This window comes from Homo sapiens, chromosome 12 (assembly GCF_000001405.40).
Source record: "Homo sapiens chromosome 12, GRCh38.p14 Primary Assembly".
Classification (NCBI taxonomy): domain Eukaryota; kingdom Metazoa; phylum Chordata; class Mammalia; order Primates; family Hominidae; genus Homo; species Homo sapiens.
This window is the reverse complement of record NC_000012.12, coordinates 18,654,012-18,674,273: the sequence shown is the minus strand read 5'-3', so window position 1 is coordinate 18,674,273 and position 20,262 is coordinate 18,654,012. Positions and strand designations below refer to the sequence as shown.

The 20,262-nt window shown below is 36.7% G+C and overlaps 2 protein-coding genes across 7 annotated transcripts in view; one reads left to right on the top strand and one right to left on the bottom strand.

Moving 5' to 3' along the window:
- Positions 1-20,262, bottom strand: part of PIK3C2G (phosphatidylinositol-4-phosphate 3-kinase catalytic subunit type 2 gamma) — a 483,857-nt gene that overhangs the window by 52,544 nt on the left and 411,051 nt on the right. The window lies entirely within an intron of this gene.
- Positions 1-20,262, top strand: part of PLCZ1 (phospholipase C zeta 1) — a 92,404-nt gene that overhangs the window by 63,739 nt on the left and 8,403 nt on the right. The gene's annotated exons all lie outside the window — the stretch shown is intronic.

Genomic DNA, 20,262 nt, shown 5'->3' with positions numbered 1-20,262 from the left:
GCTTCTCTAAATGTCATTATTATATTAAGCTATTGTTTGAATTTAATATATGTGGCTTATATTTAAAAGGTGCAATGAATGGAAAAGCATTTAAAATGTAGTTCCAAAAGTATTTGAATACATGTGTTTCTATATGCTTTTCCCTCTAATATTCTTTGTCTTTCGATTTTATTCTTCACAGTTGTGGTAGACAGACTGTAAGATATCTACCAGTGATCTTCACTTCCTGATACTCACAGCTTTGTGTAATCCACTGCCTTTAAACAATCTGCTTTTATCCAATAGAATACAGCAACATGAAGGTGATGTCACTTCTGATTGTGACTTCCATCTTGCTAGTAGACAATTGTTTTCTTGGCTTGCACACTATGATGAAGCAAGCTGCCATGTGAAAGAGGTCCATGTGGCAAAGAGCTCAGGGCAGCTTCTGTGGAACAGCCAGTGAGCAACTGAGGCCCTGAGTCCAACAGTTTGTGAGGAGCTGAATGCTTCCAACAGCTACTGAAAGAGGGTGGCAGTGGATCCTTCCCCTGATGAGAAGTCAGATGAGACTGCAGACCCTTTGTAGCCTTGTGAGAGACAGTGAATCAGAGGGCCCAGTAGCTGTGCCTGGATTTCTGACATACAGAAACTATGAGATAATTAATGCGTATTCTTTTAAGCTGCAAAGTTTTGGAGTAATTTGTTACATAACAATAGATAACTAGTAGAATAGGTCTTTTCTTTGTGGGGAGATAAAGGATTGCAGATATCCAAGGCTTCTCTAGCCTTGTTCGTTTGTTCATTTTTGGCTTTTTCCTTGCCATCAAACCCTAATAGTTTTAGAATTCCATAATGGATGTAAAAAGTATATCTTGGTGAAATGGCTCTGTTTATGATATTTTCATATAACAACAAATTTTTCTATTCTAGTATTTTCTCAGTGGGGACATATATATCACATTTTCATTTCAATAACTTATATACTATTTCAAATGTGAAATTTGAAATTATGTTGTAGGGATTACAGTGGGGATAGCTGAAGAACAGTTTTTTAAAATTTTGTTTTTAAAAGGATCTTTTCCTGTACCCTTTATGAGGGGCAGTATGTGAATCAATTTAACCATTAAAAACATGAATAAATTCCCCTGTTCCTTAAGCCTGTCTTCTTCATACCTTTTGGAACTAATTTTTAGAACTTTTCTGCTTCAGCTAAATTAGTCTGCTTTTTAATTCTCTTCTATGTACCACTTTGGCAAACACTTCTGTATTTTAATGTATGCCATCTTTTGTGTCATGTACCAATCTGTGCACAATTTAGCCTTCACATCTCACTTCTTCCTGAAAGCTGTTCTTGGTTGTCCTCACCTGAGCCAGACATTTTCTCTTAGCTCCTTCAGCAGACCTACCCTCCATCCTGCTCACCTTGCCCTCTGCCTAGGTAGTAGCCCTGAATGGACTACATCGAAGCATTTCTGTGCCCTCTTGCTCCTGTTAGGTTAGGCCATGGGGAGCAGCCTACCAGGAGGTTGAAGGGAGGGAAGAGTTCAAGGCATCTATTCCTCAATTTTCCTCCCAGTGAGGTCACCTTGGGATGGTCATGTTCCTTAATGTGACTTGCTACCCTTCTGGGTTCTGGTCAATAAGAAACTCAGTGTCAGTAAAGAAAAGGTCAAATAATGAAACTACATGTTCTGATTTTCTCATATTCATTCAAATGTGATGAGTAGTGGGAGTAGAAATCAGCCTCCAGCATATGGAATGTTGAGTATATTAAACAACACAAATTTATTTTTATATAGTTGTTTTAACCTAGATTTATACCAGTTTTTTTTCAAGTCATTTGACTTTAATTCCAGATTCTATCTTGAAACTTACATAATCAGAGATCACACATTAAATGAGCACATAACATAATGAGTAAAAGTAAACAATTAAAAACCTTTCCCTTTTCTTAACTGTCGGGAAAGGTTTGTTCTAGATGAGCAATGACGACTGAGTAATAGAGGTGCTGAGAATTAAGTTAGAATAAGACAGTTGTATTTTCTCATTAAAAGCAGTAACAACAGAACAGTTCTCTGAAGTAATATAAGCTAATTCTGCCAAACTGAGAAATGTCAGAAACTATAAAGCCATAAAACATGATCCACTGCAAAATAAAATAATCTCTTTAAATTCACTTGTCTTTGCTATGATCTGAATGTTTGTGTCCCCATAAAATTCATATGCTGAAATCGAATCCTCAAAGTAATGGTATTAGTAGGTGGGGCCTTTGGTGGGTGACTAGGTCATGATGTAGCCCTCATGTATGGGATTTGTGTCCTGATAAAAGAGCCCTAGGGCTCTTATATGCCCACTCTACCAAGTCAAGATGTCATGAAAAGGTGCTATATATGGGAGATGAGCCTTCACCAGACATTGAATCTGCAGGCGCCTTGATCTTAAACTTCTCAAACTCCAAAACTGTGAGAAATCAATTTCTATTGTTTGTAGCCCCTCCATGGATGATATTTTTGTTATAGCAGCTTGGATGAACTCAGACAGTCTTTTTGCATTTTGGAAAAAAATTCAAATTTCCCTTTTCTTCATCATTTTTCTGGAGCCTTTCCTTTCCATAAATTGTCTGCAATAATGAAATTTTTTTTTATATCCAATATAGTAGCCACTAGCCATATGTGCCTCCTCACCACTTGTGATGTGCCTAGTACACCTGAGAAATCAAATTTGTAGTTTTGTTTCATTTTTAATTGAGTAGCCACACATGGGTGGTGCCTCCATAGTGAATGCTGTAGCTCTGGAGTGCTGATCTCATGTGTGATCTTCTTTAGGTTCAGGTTTTCTGCATTATGCTGACGCAGTCACACACAGTCCCTTATTACACAAAGGGGCCAGGCTCTCGTGTTCTTTCTCCTACATGTGTCTGTTTCTTCCCAGCTGTACTTACTCGATTGTGGATTCAGTCCAATAAAAAAAAATCCCAATATCTTCTCTGTATGGTGCATAGCAGTTTATGAAATGTTTTTACATACACTATTTAGTTTGATCCTCATAATAAATGGAACTAGATAGCACTTTTTCTTTTTCTTTCTTTCTTTTTTTTTTTTTTTAGATGGAGTCTCACCCTGTCACCCGGGCTGGAGGGCAATGGCCTGATTTCGGCTCACTGCTGAAATCACTGTCACCTCCACTTCCCAGGCTCAAGTAATTCTCCTGCCTCAGCCTCCTGAGTAGCTGGGATTACAGGCGCACACCACCAAGCTGGGCTAATTTTTGTATTTTAGTGGAGACAGGGTTTCACCATGTTGTCCAGGTGCTCTAACTCCTGACCTCATGATCTGCCTGCCTCAGCCTCCCAAAGTGTTGGGATTACAGGCATGAGCCACTGTGCCCGGCCGAAACTGTGTTTGTTTTCTTAAATAATTTTTCCAATTGAAAGCTTCCTAACTGATTTGATCAAGTAAAGGAGCTCATTTGAAAGAATGTTTCATGACAATGTAAACATTGGTTATTCTGGAATTGGTGAGAAAAGTGCACCTAAAATAGTTCAGGATGATAAAGTAAAAAGAACACTGAAGAGCTGTGCCTGCCACTTATCATGAGATTGATAATAGCAATAATAATAATGATAATAGTAATAGAGACATGTATTACCCACTTACCATATTCCAAGCATTATCCTAAGTGCTTTATATGCAGAAACGAAGTTAACCCTGCAGAAAGGAAGTTAACCCTCATATCAATCCCTGGAGATTTTGCAGATGAAGACAATAAGATTAAAGAGGTTAAGAACTGTGTTGAAGGTAATGCATCTTGGGTAGTTGAAGCTGTCTTGGGTAGGCCCTTCAACTCTCATGGTTTGTTTGCTCCCCTTTAAAAAGGAGGTTGCTGAACTAGACAATATCTATGTTCTAGCTCTCTGTGGCACAGACAATTGAAATGTCTAAATCAACAATGTGATTTTTGGCAGTGTCCTTTCTGATGTTGTGTGTGTGTGTGTGTGCGCATATGTGTGTAATTTCTGTAATTGTGGAGAAATGTAGCAATCTGATAAAACAACTCTTCTGAAAAAAGTGATTTCCTAAAGCATTTCATTTTTATATTGATCTTGTTTCAAGGCAGCATACTTCTTCTATCTAATGATCTGATATCTGTTGTGAATGGAATGTTTATGTCCTCTCCAAACATTCCCAAATTCATATTTTGAAGCCCTAACTCCCAATGGGGTGGTATTAGGAGGTAGGATCTTTGGGAGGTAATTAGGTTTAAATTAAGACATAAGGGCTGAGCCACTATGATAGGATTAATGCCCTTATAAGAAGAGGAAGAGGGCCGGGCGCGGTGGCTCACACCTGTAGTCCCAGCACTTTGGGAGGCCAGGTGGGCGGATCACAAGGTCAGGAGTTTGAGACCAGCCTGAGCAACGTGGTGAAACCCTGTCTCTGCTAAATGAGCAAACAAAAAATACAAAAATTAGCCAGGCATGGTGGCACACGCCTGTAATCCCAGCTACTCAGGAGGCTGAGGCAGGAGAATCACTTGAACCCAGGAGGCGGAGGTTGCAGTGAGCTGAAATTACATCTCTGGACTCTAGCCTGGGTGACAGAGCGAGAATCTGTCTCAAAAAAAAAAGAGAGGAAGAGACACCAGAGCTTCCTCTCTCTGCCATGTGAGGATTCAGCTGCAAAGGCAACTGTCTGGAAGCCAGGAATAGGGGCCCTCACCAACAACTGAATCTGCTGGATTGGACTTTCCAGCCTCCAGAACTGTGAGAAATAAATTTCTGTTGTTTAAGCCACCGAGTCTATGGTATTTTTATTATAGCAGTTCACATTAAGACAGTATCTTTTAGACTCTCACTGATAATATGAATTAGATTATTTAAAGTGAGGATAATTATCCTTACCACACACCAATTTATTATAAAGGTTAAATGAAATAATGTTTACTGTGGTGCCTGCTACATAGTAAGAATACAAGAGACCACACATATAATGGAAAGAGAATATAGTGCAGTGGTTAAGAGGATGGATTCTGATGCTTGATTGCCTGACTTCATGTCCTTTGCTACCTACTAGCTGTGGGACCTTGGAAAAAAATTACTCAACTTCTTTTGTGTGTGTGCTTTAGTTTCCCATCAGAGGAATCAAGAAAATAATCATTGTTACAAGGCTTAAATGAACTGTTGTTTATAAAGAATTTGGAACAGTACCATGAAAATGCAGAACAGAGACAAGAGTGTCACATAAATATTAGCTATTATTATTATTACTATTTTCTGCACTAGCTTTTGCTCAGCGGGGGAAATTAATTACACACCTGGAGCTTCTCTCTTAATCTCTTATTCACGATTTTTTCTTGCACATCTAGTAATTTATTTCGTCTTTGCTGACATTTACAATTGAAAGTCCAAAAAGATCCATCAGAATTTTTGTCCGGTGTAAGCTCCTTCTGCACTCGTGTATTCTGATGTATGAGTAGATATGTATCAGAGCTGGGCAGGCCTGAGGTGAATATCAGCAGGCAGCATTCCCAAGCAATAAATATAGCTTTGGGGTGTGAGCACTTCTACCCAGAGAGTGATAAATGGTCTTTTCCTTTATGGGCTGGAGGTGAGTTGGCCTGAAGTGAGCAGCACTTTGCTCTAGGGAGATGAGTTGTGCTATGATCTGTGGGCTTCCCCAGGGTGTTGGTCCTATCTTCAGTGTGCCAGAAGATGATGGTCCAGCATGCATGATCTCCTTGAAGAAGGCAAAGGGCACTAGGGTTGCAGTCCTGGAGCTTCAGTTGTAGTAGACGGCAGGCAGGTTAGTGGTCCCTGCAGTCCTTGTCTCACCTTGGTGCTCCATGTGTGTAGGTTGGGTTCCATTTGATTTCTGATGGATGAGCAAGGTTTTCCTTTTACAAATTTTCCCTTAATCACCTCAAAAGGGAATTAGTAAACTGGTAAAGTGGCAAAGATATGTTCTTAGTTTCTCTGACTTTCCAAAGAATTATTATCCGTAGGGAAGGTTCATGTAAATACTTAATGAAAATGTGATGTGTGTTTCTTCTTAAGAAATAATGGGCTTACTGTGATATTCTGTAGGGGATGTTATTGAAAGTATGACTGGACTTTTTTTCTTTTTAAATTTCACTACCTGCTAGTCCCTATGAGACAGAGAGATTAAGATAATACAAGTTGGGGCTAAGAAAAAGACAGTGACTCTTTTAGTATAATTACGCTAAGTGGAGACGAACTTTGACTGTATCAGAAATCTGATTATATTAGGTAGTGTCCTAAAGGTAGACCTTAGGTAAAAATCTTTTGCCTTTTTTTTTTGTTGTTGTTGCTTCTCCTCAGGACTCAAAGTTTTCCCCTGCTCCCCGTCTCACTCTCCACCTTGTTCTGTTTACTGGGAAGAGAATCTTCTAGAACCATGGGCAGAATCTCTCCTCTTAAGAAGGCAGAGCAATGTGGTGGAAATGGCATGGAGTTTGAAGTCAAGCCAGAGCTGGGATTGACTGCTGGGCTCAAGGACATTTCTTAACTTTATAGAGTTTCATTTTCTTTTAAACATAGAAATACTATTGCTTATTTCATAGACTTTTATGATAATGAAATCAAATGCTGTGGGTAAAGCAGTAGCACAATGCCTTGTACAAACTGGGTCTTCAATAAACGCTAACTCCTTTCCCCTTTCCTACTACAGAAAATTGGTGACAAGAAGGATCATGAAGAAAGGATCTCAAGTAAAAATAGAAGAAAAAAAGTCTTAAATATGTTTTAAAAACAAGCCAAACTCTAGCTTATAGAGCAGTTATTTTACTAAAATTATATTCTCAAAACATAGTACTTAGTGTTGTCAAAGACTATAATATTGACTCTGGAGACCTGAATGAGAGCAGATAGATACAGGTAATCTTGATTTTAGCCCCACCAGGTGCCCATCAGTTTATAACAGTTAAAAGTTGATGACTGTTAACTTCTTGGTAGGAGGTTTCTCCCACCAAGGGTTTAATTAAGATATTACACATATCTCTAAGTGGTAGTCATATGCTGTCATAGCTCTAAGAAGTAGTATATTCACTTACGTATTTGAACTATTCCTGCCTTCATTCAAAGCTTACAAGTTTATAATGGTGGCAACCCTCATCATGAGACCTTATTTGAGACCCCTTTCAATATACTGAAATGCCTTTATTTTCATTCTCCATTTAAGCCTAGTGTTTCTGGCAACTTCCCCCCACTGTGATGCATTGAGGATGCACTCTGTCTGGTGATATAGCCTACACCATTATTGAGAAACGGTATTTTTAGTTCTAGGCCATGATTGCTACTTTCTCTGCTTTTTGCTAAGGAATTGTGGTTAAAACCCTGAAACCTGCCTCCTAGAGAATTTGTTTAAAAATAACCTTTTACTTAACAGTTTTAGGTTTACAGGAAAATTGCAAAAATAAGAAATGGAGTTTCCATATACCACATAACCAGTTTAGACTATCATCTGTAACCTAATATGTGGTCTATCCTGGAGAATGTTTCATGTCTACTTGTGAAGAACTTGTATTCTGCTATTGTTGAGTGATGTGTTCTATATATGTCTGTAGTTTTAGTTGGTTTATAGCATTGTTCAAGTATTCTATTTCTCTGTCTTTCGTCTAGTACTTTTTCCTATTGAAAGTTGGGTATTAAAATCTCCAAATGTTGTTGAACTATCTGTTTCTTTCTTCAATTCTGTCAGTTTTTGCTTCACATATTTTGGGGGTTTCCCATTTATATATTTATAATTGTTTTATCTTCTTAATAGATGGATACTTTTATATTATATAATGTCCTTCTTTGTCTCGTGCAACAATCACCTTGAAGTCCATTTTAAAAATTAGTATAGCCACCCCAGCTCTTTTTGAGACTATTTGCATAAATGTATTTTTCCATTTTCAACATATTTGTGTCTGTAAATCTAAGGAGTGTCTTGTAGACAGTATATAATTGGATCGTGCTTCTTAATGCATTTTGCCAAATATGCCCTTTAATTGAAGAGTTTAATCTACTTATATTTAATGAAATTAAAGATATAAAAAGACTTACTTTTGCCAATTTTCTCTTTGTTTTCTATAGGCAATATCTTTTAATTATTAATTTCTCTATAATTTTTTTCTTTTGTGTTAGATATTTTCTAGTGTCACTTGATTTCTTTTTCATTTGTTTTAGTATACACTTTTAAGTTATTTTCTTAATGGTTTACCTGGAGATTACCATTAATATCTTAATTTATAATAATCTAGTTTAAATTAACATTTAATAGTATACGAAGACTTTGGTCACATATAGCTCCATACCTCAGGCATGCACCACCACGCCCAACTAGTTTTTTTTTTTTTTTGAGATGGAGTCTATCTCTGTCACCCAGGCTGGAGTACAATGGCGCGATCTTGGCTCACTGCAACCTCTGCCTACTGGGTTCAAGTGATTCCCCTGCCTCAGCCTCCCAAGTACCTGGGACTACAGGTGCGCACCACTACGCCTGGCTAATTTTTTGTATTTTACTAGAGAAGGAGTTTCACCATGTGGTCCAGGATGGTCTCGATCTCCTGACCTCGTGATCCACCTGCCTCAGCCTCCCAAAGTTCTGGGATTATAGGCATGAGCCACTGCGTCCAGACCGCCAGGCTAATTTTTGTATTTTCAGTACAGACAGGGTTTCACTATGTTGGTCAGGCTAGTCTCCAACTCCCGACCTCAGGTGATCTGCCTGCCTTGGCCTCCCAAAGTGCTGGGATTACAGGCAGGAGCCACCACACCTGGCCATAATTATTGTTTTATATAATTATCTTTTAAATAATACAGACAAAATAGAGAAATTACAAACCTAAAATACATTACCAATGACTGTTTCTCAATTTTTTTTTCTTGTGGTGAAATACAAATAATATAAAACATACTATTTTAGCCATTTTTAGAGGTGCAGTTCAGTGGTATTAAATACATTCTCATTCTACAACTACCACTAATATCCATCTCCAGAACTCTTTCCATCTTGCAAAACTGAAAGTCTATATACCCTTTAAACAATAACTCCTCAATTACCCATTCCACCAGTCCCTGGCAACCACCATTCTTTGTTCTTATTTTTTTTAATTTTTTTTTATTTTTTATTATTATTATGCTTTAAGTTTTAGGGTACATGTGCACAATGTGCAGGTTAGTTACATATGTATGCATGTGCCATGCTGTTGTGCTGCACCCATCAACTCGTCATTTAGCATTAGGTATATTTCCTAATGCTATCCCTCCCCCCTCCCCCCACCCCACAACAGTCCCCAGAGTGTGATGTTCCCCTTCCTGTGTCCATGTGTCCTCATTGTTCAATTCCCACCTATGAGTGAGAACATGCAGTATTTGGTTTTTTGTCCTTGTGATAGTTTACTGAGAATGATGATTTCCAATTTCATCCATGTCCCTACAAAGGACATGAACTCATCATTTTTTGTGGCTGCATAGTATTCCATGGTGTATATGTGCCACATTTTCTTAATCCAGTCTATCATTGTTGGACATTTGGATTGGTTCCAAGTCTTTGCTATTGTGAATAGTGCCGCAATAAACATACGTGTGCATGTGTCTTTATAGCAGCATGATTTATAGTCCTTTGGGTATATACCCAATAATGGGATGGCTGGGTCAAATGGTCTTTCTAGTTCTAGATCCCTGACCTGGCAACCACTATTCTACTCATTGTCTCCATGATTTTGAACACTTTAAGTATCTCATATAAATAGAATCATACTTTATCTTTTTGTGATTTTTCTTATTTCACTTAGCATAATGCCCTCTAAGTTCATCCATGCTGTAGTATATGCCATAATTTCCTTCCCTTTCAATGCTGAACAATATTCCACAGTATGTATAAACTACAGTTTCCTTATCCATTTATGTATCAATGGATATTTGGGTTACTCCCCAAGCTATTGAGAACAATGCTGCTATAAACATGGATGTACAAATATATTTTCAGAAGCCTGCTTTCAGTGTTTTTTGGTATATATTCAGAACTGGAATTGTAGGATTATGTGGTAAATCTATGTTTAAGTTTTTGAGGAACCACCAAACTGTGTCCCACAGTGGCTATACCATTTTACGTTCCTACCAACAGTACATAAGCGTTCCAATTCTTCCACATCCTGACCCTCGCTTGTTATTTTCTGGTGTGTCTTTGTTTGTTTGTCTGGTTTGGTTTTTGATAGTAGCCATCCTAATGAGTGTGAGTGTTATATCATTGTAGTTTTGATTTGCATTTTCAATGATTAGTGATGTTGAGCATGTTTTTATGTGCTTACTAGCCATTTGTATATCTTCTTTGGAGAAATGTCTATTCAAGTCCATAGCCTATTACTTAAACCAGGTTGTTTGGCTATTGGTTATTGTGTTTTAGGAATTCTCTATGTATTCTGGATATTAATTCCTTATAAGATGTATGATTTGCTAATATTTTCTTCCATTTTGTATATTGCCTTTTTCTCTGTTGATAGTGTTTTCAGATGCACAACATTTTTCAATTTTCATGAAGTTCAATTTCTTTCTTTTTTCTTCTGTTGTTTGTGTCTTTGGTGTCATGTCTCACAAATCATTGCCAAATCCAACATCATAAAGCTTTTGTCCTATGTTTTTTTTTCTAAGAGTTTTACAGTTTTTGCTGTTATGTTTAGGTACTGGATATATTTTAAGTTAATTTTTACAAGGTCATCCTTTGGTATCAATGTGGGATTATTTCCAGGACCTCCTATGGATATCAAAATCCACAGAAGTTCAAATCTCTGATATAAAATAGCATAGTATTTGCATATAACCTATGCATATCCTCCTATGTAGTTTAAATAATCTCTACATTACCTATGCTTGACACAATGTAAATGTTATGTAAATAGTTATTATACTGTATTGTTTAGGAAAAAGTGCTAAATTAATTAATTCTAACAGTTTTTCTGGACTCATGGTTTTCTAAAAACAGGATCGTATTATCTGTGAACAAAGATAATTTTGCCTCTTCTTTTCAAATTTAGATGTCTTTTATTTCCTTTTCTTGCCTAACTGCTCTGGATAGAGTATCCAGTACTATGTTGAATAAAAGTGATGAACCTGTTCACCCTTGCCTTGTTCCTGATCTTAGAAGAAAAGCTTTCAGTCTTTCAACATTGAGTATAATATTCATTGTGGATTTTTCATATGTGGCTTTTATTATGCTGAGGTAGTTTTCCATCTATGTCTTTTGACTGGAGAGAGTTTAATCCACTTATATTTAAAGTAATTTCTGATATGGAGGCACTTCTGTCAGTTTTCTATTTGGTTTCTACATGCCTTATAGCTTTTATAGTCCTAATTGTTATCTTTGCATTACTGTCTTTTTGTGTTTAGTTGATGTTTTTTGTAGTTAAATGTTTTAAGTATTTTCTCATTTCCTTTGGTTTTTATTCTATGTGCATTTTCTGTTTGGTTACCATGGGGATTACATTTAACATGCTAAAGTTATAACTCTCTAATTTGATTTTATAACAGCTTAACTTCAGTAACATATGAGATTCTGCTCCTTTACAGACTAGACCTCATTTTTCAGTTATTGATGCTTCAAAATTACATCTTTCCACATTGTGGGTCCAGATATATGAACCAATAATTACTTTTAATGCATTAATATCTTAAATAATGTAGAAAACAAAATGTATAGCTGCAGACCAAAGTTACAATAATACAAATTTTTATAATTGTTCATGTATTTACCTTTACTGTGGATCTTTACTTCTTCACAAAGCCTTTTTTTTAAACTGTGTAATGCTCTTTTATTTCAAAGTGTGAGGCCACCTTTAGTATTCCCTGCAGGGTAGATCTAGGGTCATAAATTTCCTCAGCTTTTGTTTATCTGGGATAAACAAAATTTATTTCTCCCTCATTTATTAATTTCTTAATTTCTCCCTCAATTTTGTGTTTTTTAAAAATTGTACTTAAAAACCTTTATGTTTAGAGGTACATGTTCAGGTTTGCTACATAGGTAAGTTGCATGTTGCAGGGGTTTGATGTACAGATTATTTCATCAGCCAGGTGATGAGCATAGTGCCTATGCTATTTAGGTAGCATAGCATAACTACTTAACTCCAGTGGGTGGTTTTTCAATCTTCACCCTCCTTGCACTTTCCATCTTCAAGTAGTCCCAGTGTCTATTGTTCTCATTTTTGTGTCCATGTGTACTCAAGATTTAGTTCCTACTTAATACGGGAGAACACGCAGTATTGGTTTTCTGTTCCTGCGTTAGTTCACTTAGGATAATGGGATAATGGCCCCCAGCTCCATTCATGTTTCTGCAAATGATATGATCTTGTTCTTTTTTTATGGATGTGTAGTATTTCATGGTGTATGTGTACTTCATTTAAAAAAATCCAGTACTACTGTTGATGGGCACATAGGTTGATTCCTATTGTCTTTGCTATTGTGAATATTTCTACAACGGTAGAACAATTTATATTCCTTTGGGTGTGTATCCAATAATGGGATTGCTGGGTCAATGGTAGTTCTAAGTTTTCTGAGAAATCACCAAACTGCTTTCCACAATGGCTGACCTAATTTCTTTCCCACCAGCAGTGTATAAGCATCCCCTTTTCTCCACAGCCTCACCAGCATGTTATTTTTTGACTTTTTAATAATAGCCATTCTGACTGGTGTGAGATGGTCTCTCATCGTGGTTTTGGTTTGCATTTTTCTGATTAATAATGTTGAACATTGTTTTATATTCTTGTTTATCCCTTATTTATGAAGGACAGTTTTGCTAGATACAGGATTCATGGTTGACAGTTGTTTTTCTTTTAGCACTTTAAATATATAATCCTACGAAAAGGCCTTTTTATGTGATGTGTCACTTCTCTCTTGCTGCTTTCAAGATTCTCTCTCTCTCTTTTTTTTTATTTTTGGCAGTAGGATTATAATGTCTTGGTACGGGTCTTTCTGAGTTATCTCATTTGGAGTTCGTTAAACTTCTTGGATGTTTATAATTCTTGTATCTCATCACACTTGGAAATATTTGGGGTACTATTTCTTCAAATAATCCCTTTGCCTCTTTCTCTTCTTGCAGAACTCTTACAATGGATATGTTGGTCTGCTTCATAATATCCTACAGGTTGGTTAGGCTCTGTTCACTTTTCTTAAATCTTTATTGCTATTCCCCAAACTCAGTAATTTCCATTGTTCTGTCCTCAAGTTCATCAATTCTTCTAACTGCTCATATATATACCCTTCAATTCTTCTAGTGAATTTTTGTCTTCAGTTGTACTTTCCAGTTCCAGAATTTCATTTTGGCTTCATTTGGGTTTTCTATATTTTTATTGATCTTTTTATTTTGTTCATGCTTTGTTTTCTTGATTTTCTTTACATCTTCCTTTACTTCTTTGACTATCAATTGTTTTAAACTCTTTGCCTAGTAAATATTTCATCAGGTCTTTCTGAAGGACAGTTTCTGTTGGTTTATTTTTTCCTTTGAATGAGACATACTTTCCTGTTTGTTGGATGCCTTGTGGTTTTTTTGTTGAAAGCTATATATATGAATCTAATAATATCATGTCTCTGGAAATCAGATTCTTCTCCTTTCCCAGAATTTGCTGTATCTGTTCTGTTTTAATTGATATAGGCTTCTCTGTGCCAAGGACCAGCCTGAGGTATAAATCTAAGGTCTTTTCTGGTCATTTCTGAGTCTATACCTTTCTCCGGGCATGCACAGTTACTTTCTAATTTCCTCTATATATGTGGTTGCTTTTAATTTAATGTCCTAGTCTTTAATGTCTGGCTCTCAAAAGGGGAAAAGGAGAAAAACTAAAGGTGCCGAGGCGCTGGCCCTTTAAACCCCCCTGGATCTCACTTCAGCTGGAGAGGGAAGGGCTTGCAACAAAGGAGGAGTTGCAACAAAACTTCCCACCTTTGTCTGTGTCTCTGCCTTTTTGATCAGAGCATCAATCAGATATCAGAACACAGATCCCTGATATTTAATGGACAGTATCCTTATGGCTCCTGCTGGTTTCGGCAAGCTGTGTGCAAGCTGATCCAGAAATACGCAGGAGAATGGGGATGGATAGCCACTGCTGAGTTAAGAGCTGAAATTGACCTAAATGTACTGAAATTTACTATCCAGGTCCTCTCCTGGAAGGTGCAAGCAAGCCTTCAGTAGACTCCAAGATTCCAAAATATTTACCTCAGACAGATTATGTCAGTGTAATTGTTCTGTTGGAGGGGAGATAAATTTTTGGTGCTTCATACTGTGCCATCTTCCCAGAATTCTCTCCAACATTTGTTTTTTACATTTACTTATCTTTAGCAGTGTTCTTTATTTCTCTATGTAAATTTGAGTTAGCCTAGAGTTCTTTTATTTCAGTCCAAAGGACTCCCTTTAGCATTTCTTATAGAGTAAGTCAACTAGCAGTTAACTGTCTCAGTTTTTATCTGGGAGAGTCTTAATTTCTCCTTTATTTTAGCATTAGGTGATATACATAATGCTAAATAACGAGTTAACGGGTGCAGCACACCAATATGGCACGTGTATACATATTTAACAAACCTGCACGTTGTGCACATGTGCCCTAAAACTTAAAGTATAATAATAGTAAAAAAAAAAAAAAAAAGAATGGAGAACTATTCCATAGTAAAGGAGACTTAAGAGGCCTGACACGTAAATGAAATGTGTGATTCTAATGTGGATATCCTTTCACTATAAAATACATTATTGAGACAATTGATAAAACTTGAAGGAAGTCTATGCATTAAATGATAGTTATGTAATTTCCTGATTTTGATCATGGTATTTTGGAGAAGAGAGAGAATATTCTTGTTTATGAAACATCATCTCTAAGTATGCAGGGATGATAGAGTATCAGGTCAGCCGCTTAATCCCAAGTGATTTAGGGAACAAAGAGTTCTTTATCCTCCAGTTACAAGCGTATGGCTGTGGGCAGCTTATTTTGTCTGACTACTTTTGTTTTCTCATCTATTGTACGGGACTAGTGATAGTATTTATCTCTTTGCATTGTTATGAGATTAAATAAGATGGTAAAGGTAAAGTGGTTATTTAGTGCCTAAAGTTGGCTAGTTTTTGAGTACCTTTATATATTAGCTCCAACTATAATATGAGAATTATGGTTACTGTTTATTTTTTACCTTCCTCCTATCTTGGCCCACTTTTAGTGTGTCTTCCCTTCTGCCCTACTGTTTCCTATCCATGTTGGTTTCCTTTCCATAGCAACTCTTGCCTCTCCAATACAAAGCTTCATGCTCCAAAAAGCACTGAGTCATAGAGCATGAGTTATTCCTTGCATGATTATAATATCTTCACCAATAGAAAGAGATAATTTGTGTGAAAGGTAAATGTACAAAAAAAATACAAAAATCTCATTTTTACAGGTTTCATAATGCAAATTTTTTCCATTCAAATAGAATAATTCACTTTAGAACATTTCTGAAGGTGAATTAGATTCTATTGTAGTAAATACCTAAGCTAAAGTATAGCATTCTCTCCCTTTTTACTCTCTGTGAAATAGAATATGTAAAACCTTCTAAAAGAATTTATATGCATAACTCAAGCCATCTATTCCAAATACTTAAAGTTACAGGTCGGTTATGTATATATGTAAAACTGGTACTTTAATGCTATTATTTATTAAAATATTGATTTTCTATTAAAAAATTCTCCTTTATTTTTCAAAAATAGTTTTTATCAAATATAGATCTCTTGGTTGATGGTCTTTTCTTTTAGCTCTTTGAATATTTCATATGTCTGGCCTCCATGGTCTGTGGTAACAATCAGCCATTAATCTTATTGAGGATTTCTTGTGCATAATGACTTGCTTCTCTCCTGCTGCTTTTACGATTCTTTATCTTTTGCTTTTGACAGTTTGATTATAGCGTGTCTCATTGTGAATCTTGTTATGTTTATCCTACTTAGAGTTTGTTGAGCCTCTTGGATGTAATTCATCAAGTGAATTGATGTTTTGGACCATTATTTCTTTAAATATTCTTTCTGTCCTTTTATCTTTTTATCTCTCTTATCTTCTGGGATGCCTAATATGCAAATGTTAATATACTTGGTGGTATTTCATAGGTCTCTTAGGATCTGTTGATTTTTCTTTATTCCTTTTGTTCCTCAGATTAGGAAATCTCAATGAACTTACTTTCAAGTTTGCTAATTCTTCCCTCTGTCTGCTCAAGTGTACTGCTGAACTTCTTTTGTGAATTTTTCATTTCAGTTGTTATAATTTTTTAATCCAGAATTTTTTTTTGGTTACTTCATAATATGTCTCTTTATTGAAGTTTTCTATTTGAAGTGATATTATTCTAGTGGTTCTCTTCAGTTCTTTGTATGTGGTTTCCTTAAGAGCTTTAAGCATATTTAAATAGTTAATTTAAAGTCTGTCTAGTAAGTCCAATAGATGAGCTTCCTTAGGGATAATTTCTATTACTTTCCTTTTTTTTCTGTGTATGGGCCATACTTTCTTATTATTTGCACACTTCACAATTTTTTGTTGAAGACTGAACATTTTGAATATTATAGTGTGGCAACTCTAGAAATCAGATTCACTTTCTTCCTTGGGGGTTTGTTGTTGCTGCTTATTATAGTAGTTGTTTGTTTAGTGCCTTCTCTGAACTGATTTTTTAAAGTATGTATTCATTGTTGTATCTAGATTCTCTTTTCGGTTAGCTTAGTGGTGTTCAGCTAATGATTTTACAGAGATTTCTTTAAACTACTGGAGCCGAAAACAACAACAAAAAATTAGAAATCTTTCAGCCTTTGCATATGGGCTCTATGTGAATGTTGAGGCATGCCTTCAACACTTCAGCTTGTAAGCTTACTACTCTGCTATAGTCTTCATTTGTGCTTTCATAGAGCCTGAGGGTCAGCCAGTGACAAGAGCTCTGGATCTTCTCAGGTATTTTCTGAATATGATCCCATCCCTGGGCACATATATGGTCATCTAAATCCCAGGTATTTGTGGAAACTTTTCAGAGCCCTTATTCCCCAAAACATCTCATTTCCCAGTCTTTCGCCCCCAGGTTTTTCAGTTAGTAAATTGTTTGTTCCAACTCTATTATTCCTTGTCCCCAGCAGCAGTGGCAAATACATCTGCCTATAAATATTTCAAACAAATTCTCCCTGGGTAGTCACCTCAGCACTGGTAGAGATTTGAGTTCGTTAAAATAAAGACAAACCCTTTGGGCTTGTTTTTTTGGGATCACTAGCCAAGTCAAAACAACCACAATTCTTTGTGGTCAGAATGAGATCTATTTTACTCTCTGTCATATTAGGACCCTATACAAAAAATGTGAGCTGCTGTCATTAGGGCTGCCTTAAAAAGTTGAGCTGGGAGCAGGAGATGGGGCCAAAGTAACTTTAACACCACATCTCTCTTACTGAAATTTAACTCTCTTTTCTTGATTAAGCATTCATTTTGTTGTTGCAAAATTTGATTGGTTTCAATTGTTCTAATAAAGTTGATTCTGACCGTTTCTGCCTGTATAATTGTGTTTTTGTTGTTGTTGTCGTTGTTGTTGCTGTTGTTTGAGACAGGGTCATGCTCTGTCACCCAGGCTGGAGTGCAGTGGCATGATCATAGCTCACTGCTAACTTGAACTCCTGCCTCAAGCAATCCTTCCACCTGAGCTTCCCAAGTAGCTGGGACACCAGGTGCATGTAACCATGCCTGGCTATTTTATTTTATTTTACTTTTTTCAGGACAGAGTCTCGCTCTGTCGCCCAGGCTGGAGTCCAGTGGTGTGATCTTGTCTCACTGCAACCTCCTTCTCCTGGGTTCAAGCAATTCTCTGCCTCAGCCTTCCAAGTAGCTGGGATTACAGGCGCCCGCCACCATGCCCAGCTAATTTTTGTATTTTTAGTAGAGACCATCTTGGCCAGGCTGGTCTTGAACTACTGAGCTCGTGATCCACCCGCCTCAGCCTCCTAAAGTGCTGGGATTACAGGCGTGACCCACTGCGCCCAGCCACCTGGCTAATATTTTTTAATGCTTTTTTGGTATAGACAGGGTCTTGCTATGTTGCCCAGGTTGGTCTCAAACTCCTGAGCTCAAATGATGCTTCCGTCTCAACTTCACAAAGTGCTGGGATTACAGGTGTGAGCCACTGTGCCCAGCATATTTGCTGTTTTTGTGGAAGAATGGAACTTTAGACTTCCCTACTTCACCATTTTTGCTGGTGTCACTCTCCTTTACTAGTATTAACAACTTATATTAGAATTTGTCACAATTGATGAACCAATATTGATATATTGTTATTAGCTAAAGTCCACTTTAATTAAAATTTACTTACTTTTTACCTAATTCAAATTTACTTAGTTTTTCCGTTTCAGGATCCCATCCAGGGTACCACATTACATAGAGTAGTCATGTCTCCTGAAGCTCCTCTTGGCTGTGACAGTTTCTCAGGCATTCTTTGCTTTTTATGATGTTGACAGTTTCAGGAGTACTAGTCAAGTATTTGGTAGAATGTTGTCAATTGGGATTTGTCAGTTCTGATTTTTTTTTTTTTTTTCATGATAAGGTTGGGGCTGTGAGTTTTTGGGAGGAAAACCTCAGAGGTAAAGTGCCACTTTCATCACATCTTGTCAAGGGTACATACTGCCAACACGACTTCCACTGTTGATATTGACCTTCACTACCTGCCTGAGGCAGTATTTGTCAGGGTTTCTCTACTATAAAGTTAATCCCCCAATCCTCTTTTCCATATTATATTCTTCAGGATGACGTCACTATGCATAGCTCATATGTAAGGAATGGGTAGCTATGTTCTACCTTTTATCAGGTGCAACATCTCCATAAATAATTAGGAATTCTGCGTGGATTTTGTTTCTTTCTCCCTACTTATTTATTTATTCATTTATAGCAGTGTGGATTCGTGGATAACTATTTTATACTTCAGGCTATAATTTAATGTTACTTACCCAACTTGTCCCAGCTTTGGCCATTGGGAACTCTTTCAGTTGGCTCCTGTGTCTTTGGGAATATTTTTTTCCTTCAGCTGGAGGACCACTGGAAGCAGGTTCTTTACCTGAAGCTGCAGTTGATGTTTCTGATACATTAGAGTCTAGTGATGATTAATATTTTCACCGTATGATCTCCAAAACCCTTTCTCTTCTTAGCTTTTAAATTTCACAAGTCTTTAACAGTATTTTCCTGTTATGGTCTTTTTCTCAACAAGAAACATCAAAAGCCTCTGGTATTTTTTTTTATTATTGTTTCTGTATACTTTTAAGACTGTTTCGGCTGGGTTTATAACTTTTTATTCAGCTTCTTATATGGGTCTGTTTACTTCTTTATTTCACATAGGGATAACATTGTTTCCCAGAACTAAGTGTCTTTTTTCTTTTTCCTTTCCCTTCACTCTCTGACCAAAACATTTGTTTTTCCAACTTTCCACTCTCAAAATTTTATCTTGAGAATGTCCCACATTAAGAGAGATGAAGTCGGTGAGTTCGATGTTTGTCACTTATCCCTTGTTCAAACAAGTCTTGATTATCTTGATCCTTATGAGTAGGAAAGTCCCATGTAAAAGATAATCTTATCAGACCAAGAGCTGATCCAGACCAAGTACTCAACTGGAATCATCTTGTCTGATTTCCCTTTAATAAGTCCTCTCTTTGCTTTACTTTTACCTGGAATAACAGTTCCACAAATTTTCCAAATATTTTTCCTCAGGGAACACCCGTGGCAATAATTTTGCTCATTTGCAGTTGACACAGATGCGTTTTCATCCTTTATACTGATTTTCCTGGGATTTCGGTCTGAAATCGGACCACATTTTCTTAACCACTTGAAAGATCTATTCCAGTTTTGAAGGAAAAGGTGATTTGATTGTTCTTACAATAATGCTGATACTTTAAGAGGAGTTTTAAAAAGCAAGTGTGATTCTTAGTCTTTCCAGGAAATCATTATATCTGCTCTCCAAGGCTTTTCCTTTTCTTATCTGATAGATTTTTTTTTTTTTTTTTAGGTACTAGTGTTTCTTTTGGAAATGGCAATAACTAAAATGTATTGCTCTTTTCTATTACCTTCTTCAAGAGAAGTTGGACCTGAGTATATTGACTTTTTAACTTTATAGTTATCTCTTCCAGCTACTAGCATTTCATTTCCCCTTCATATCTGCCCAGTCTGTGTTTTGAGATCCCAATATTTCTTTTAAGGCAGTATCTTTCTCATTACTACTCAGTTTGACACATTCTATTTTATTTTCCTTCTTCTGCTACCATTGCTCTGATAGTAAGAAACTATCAG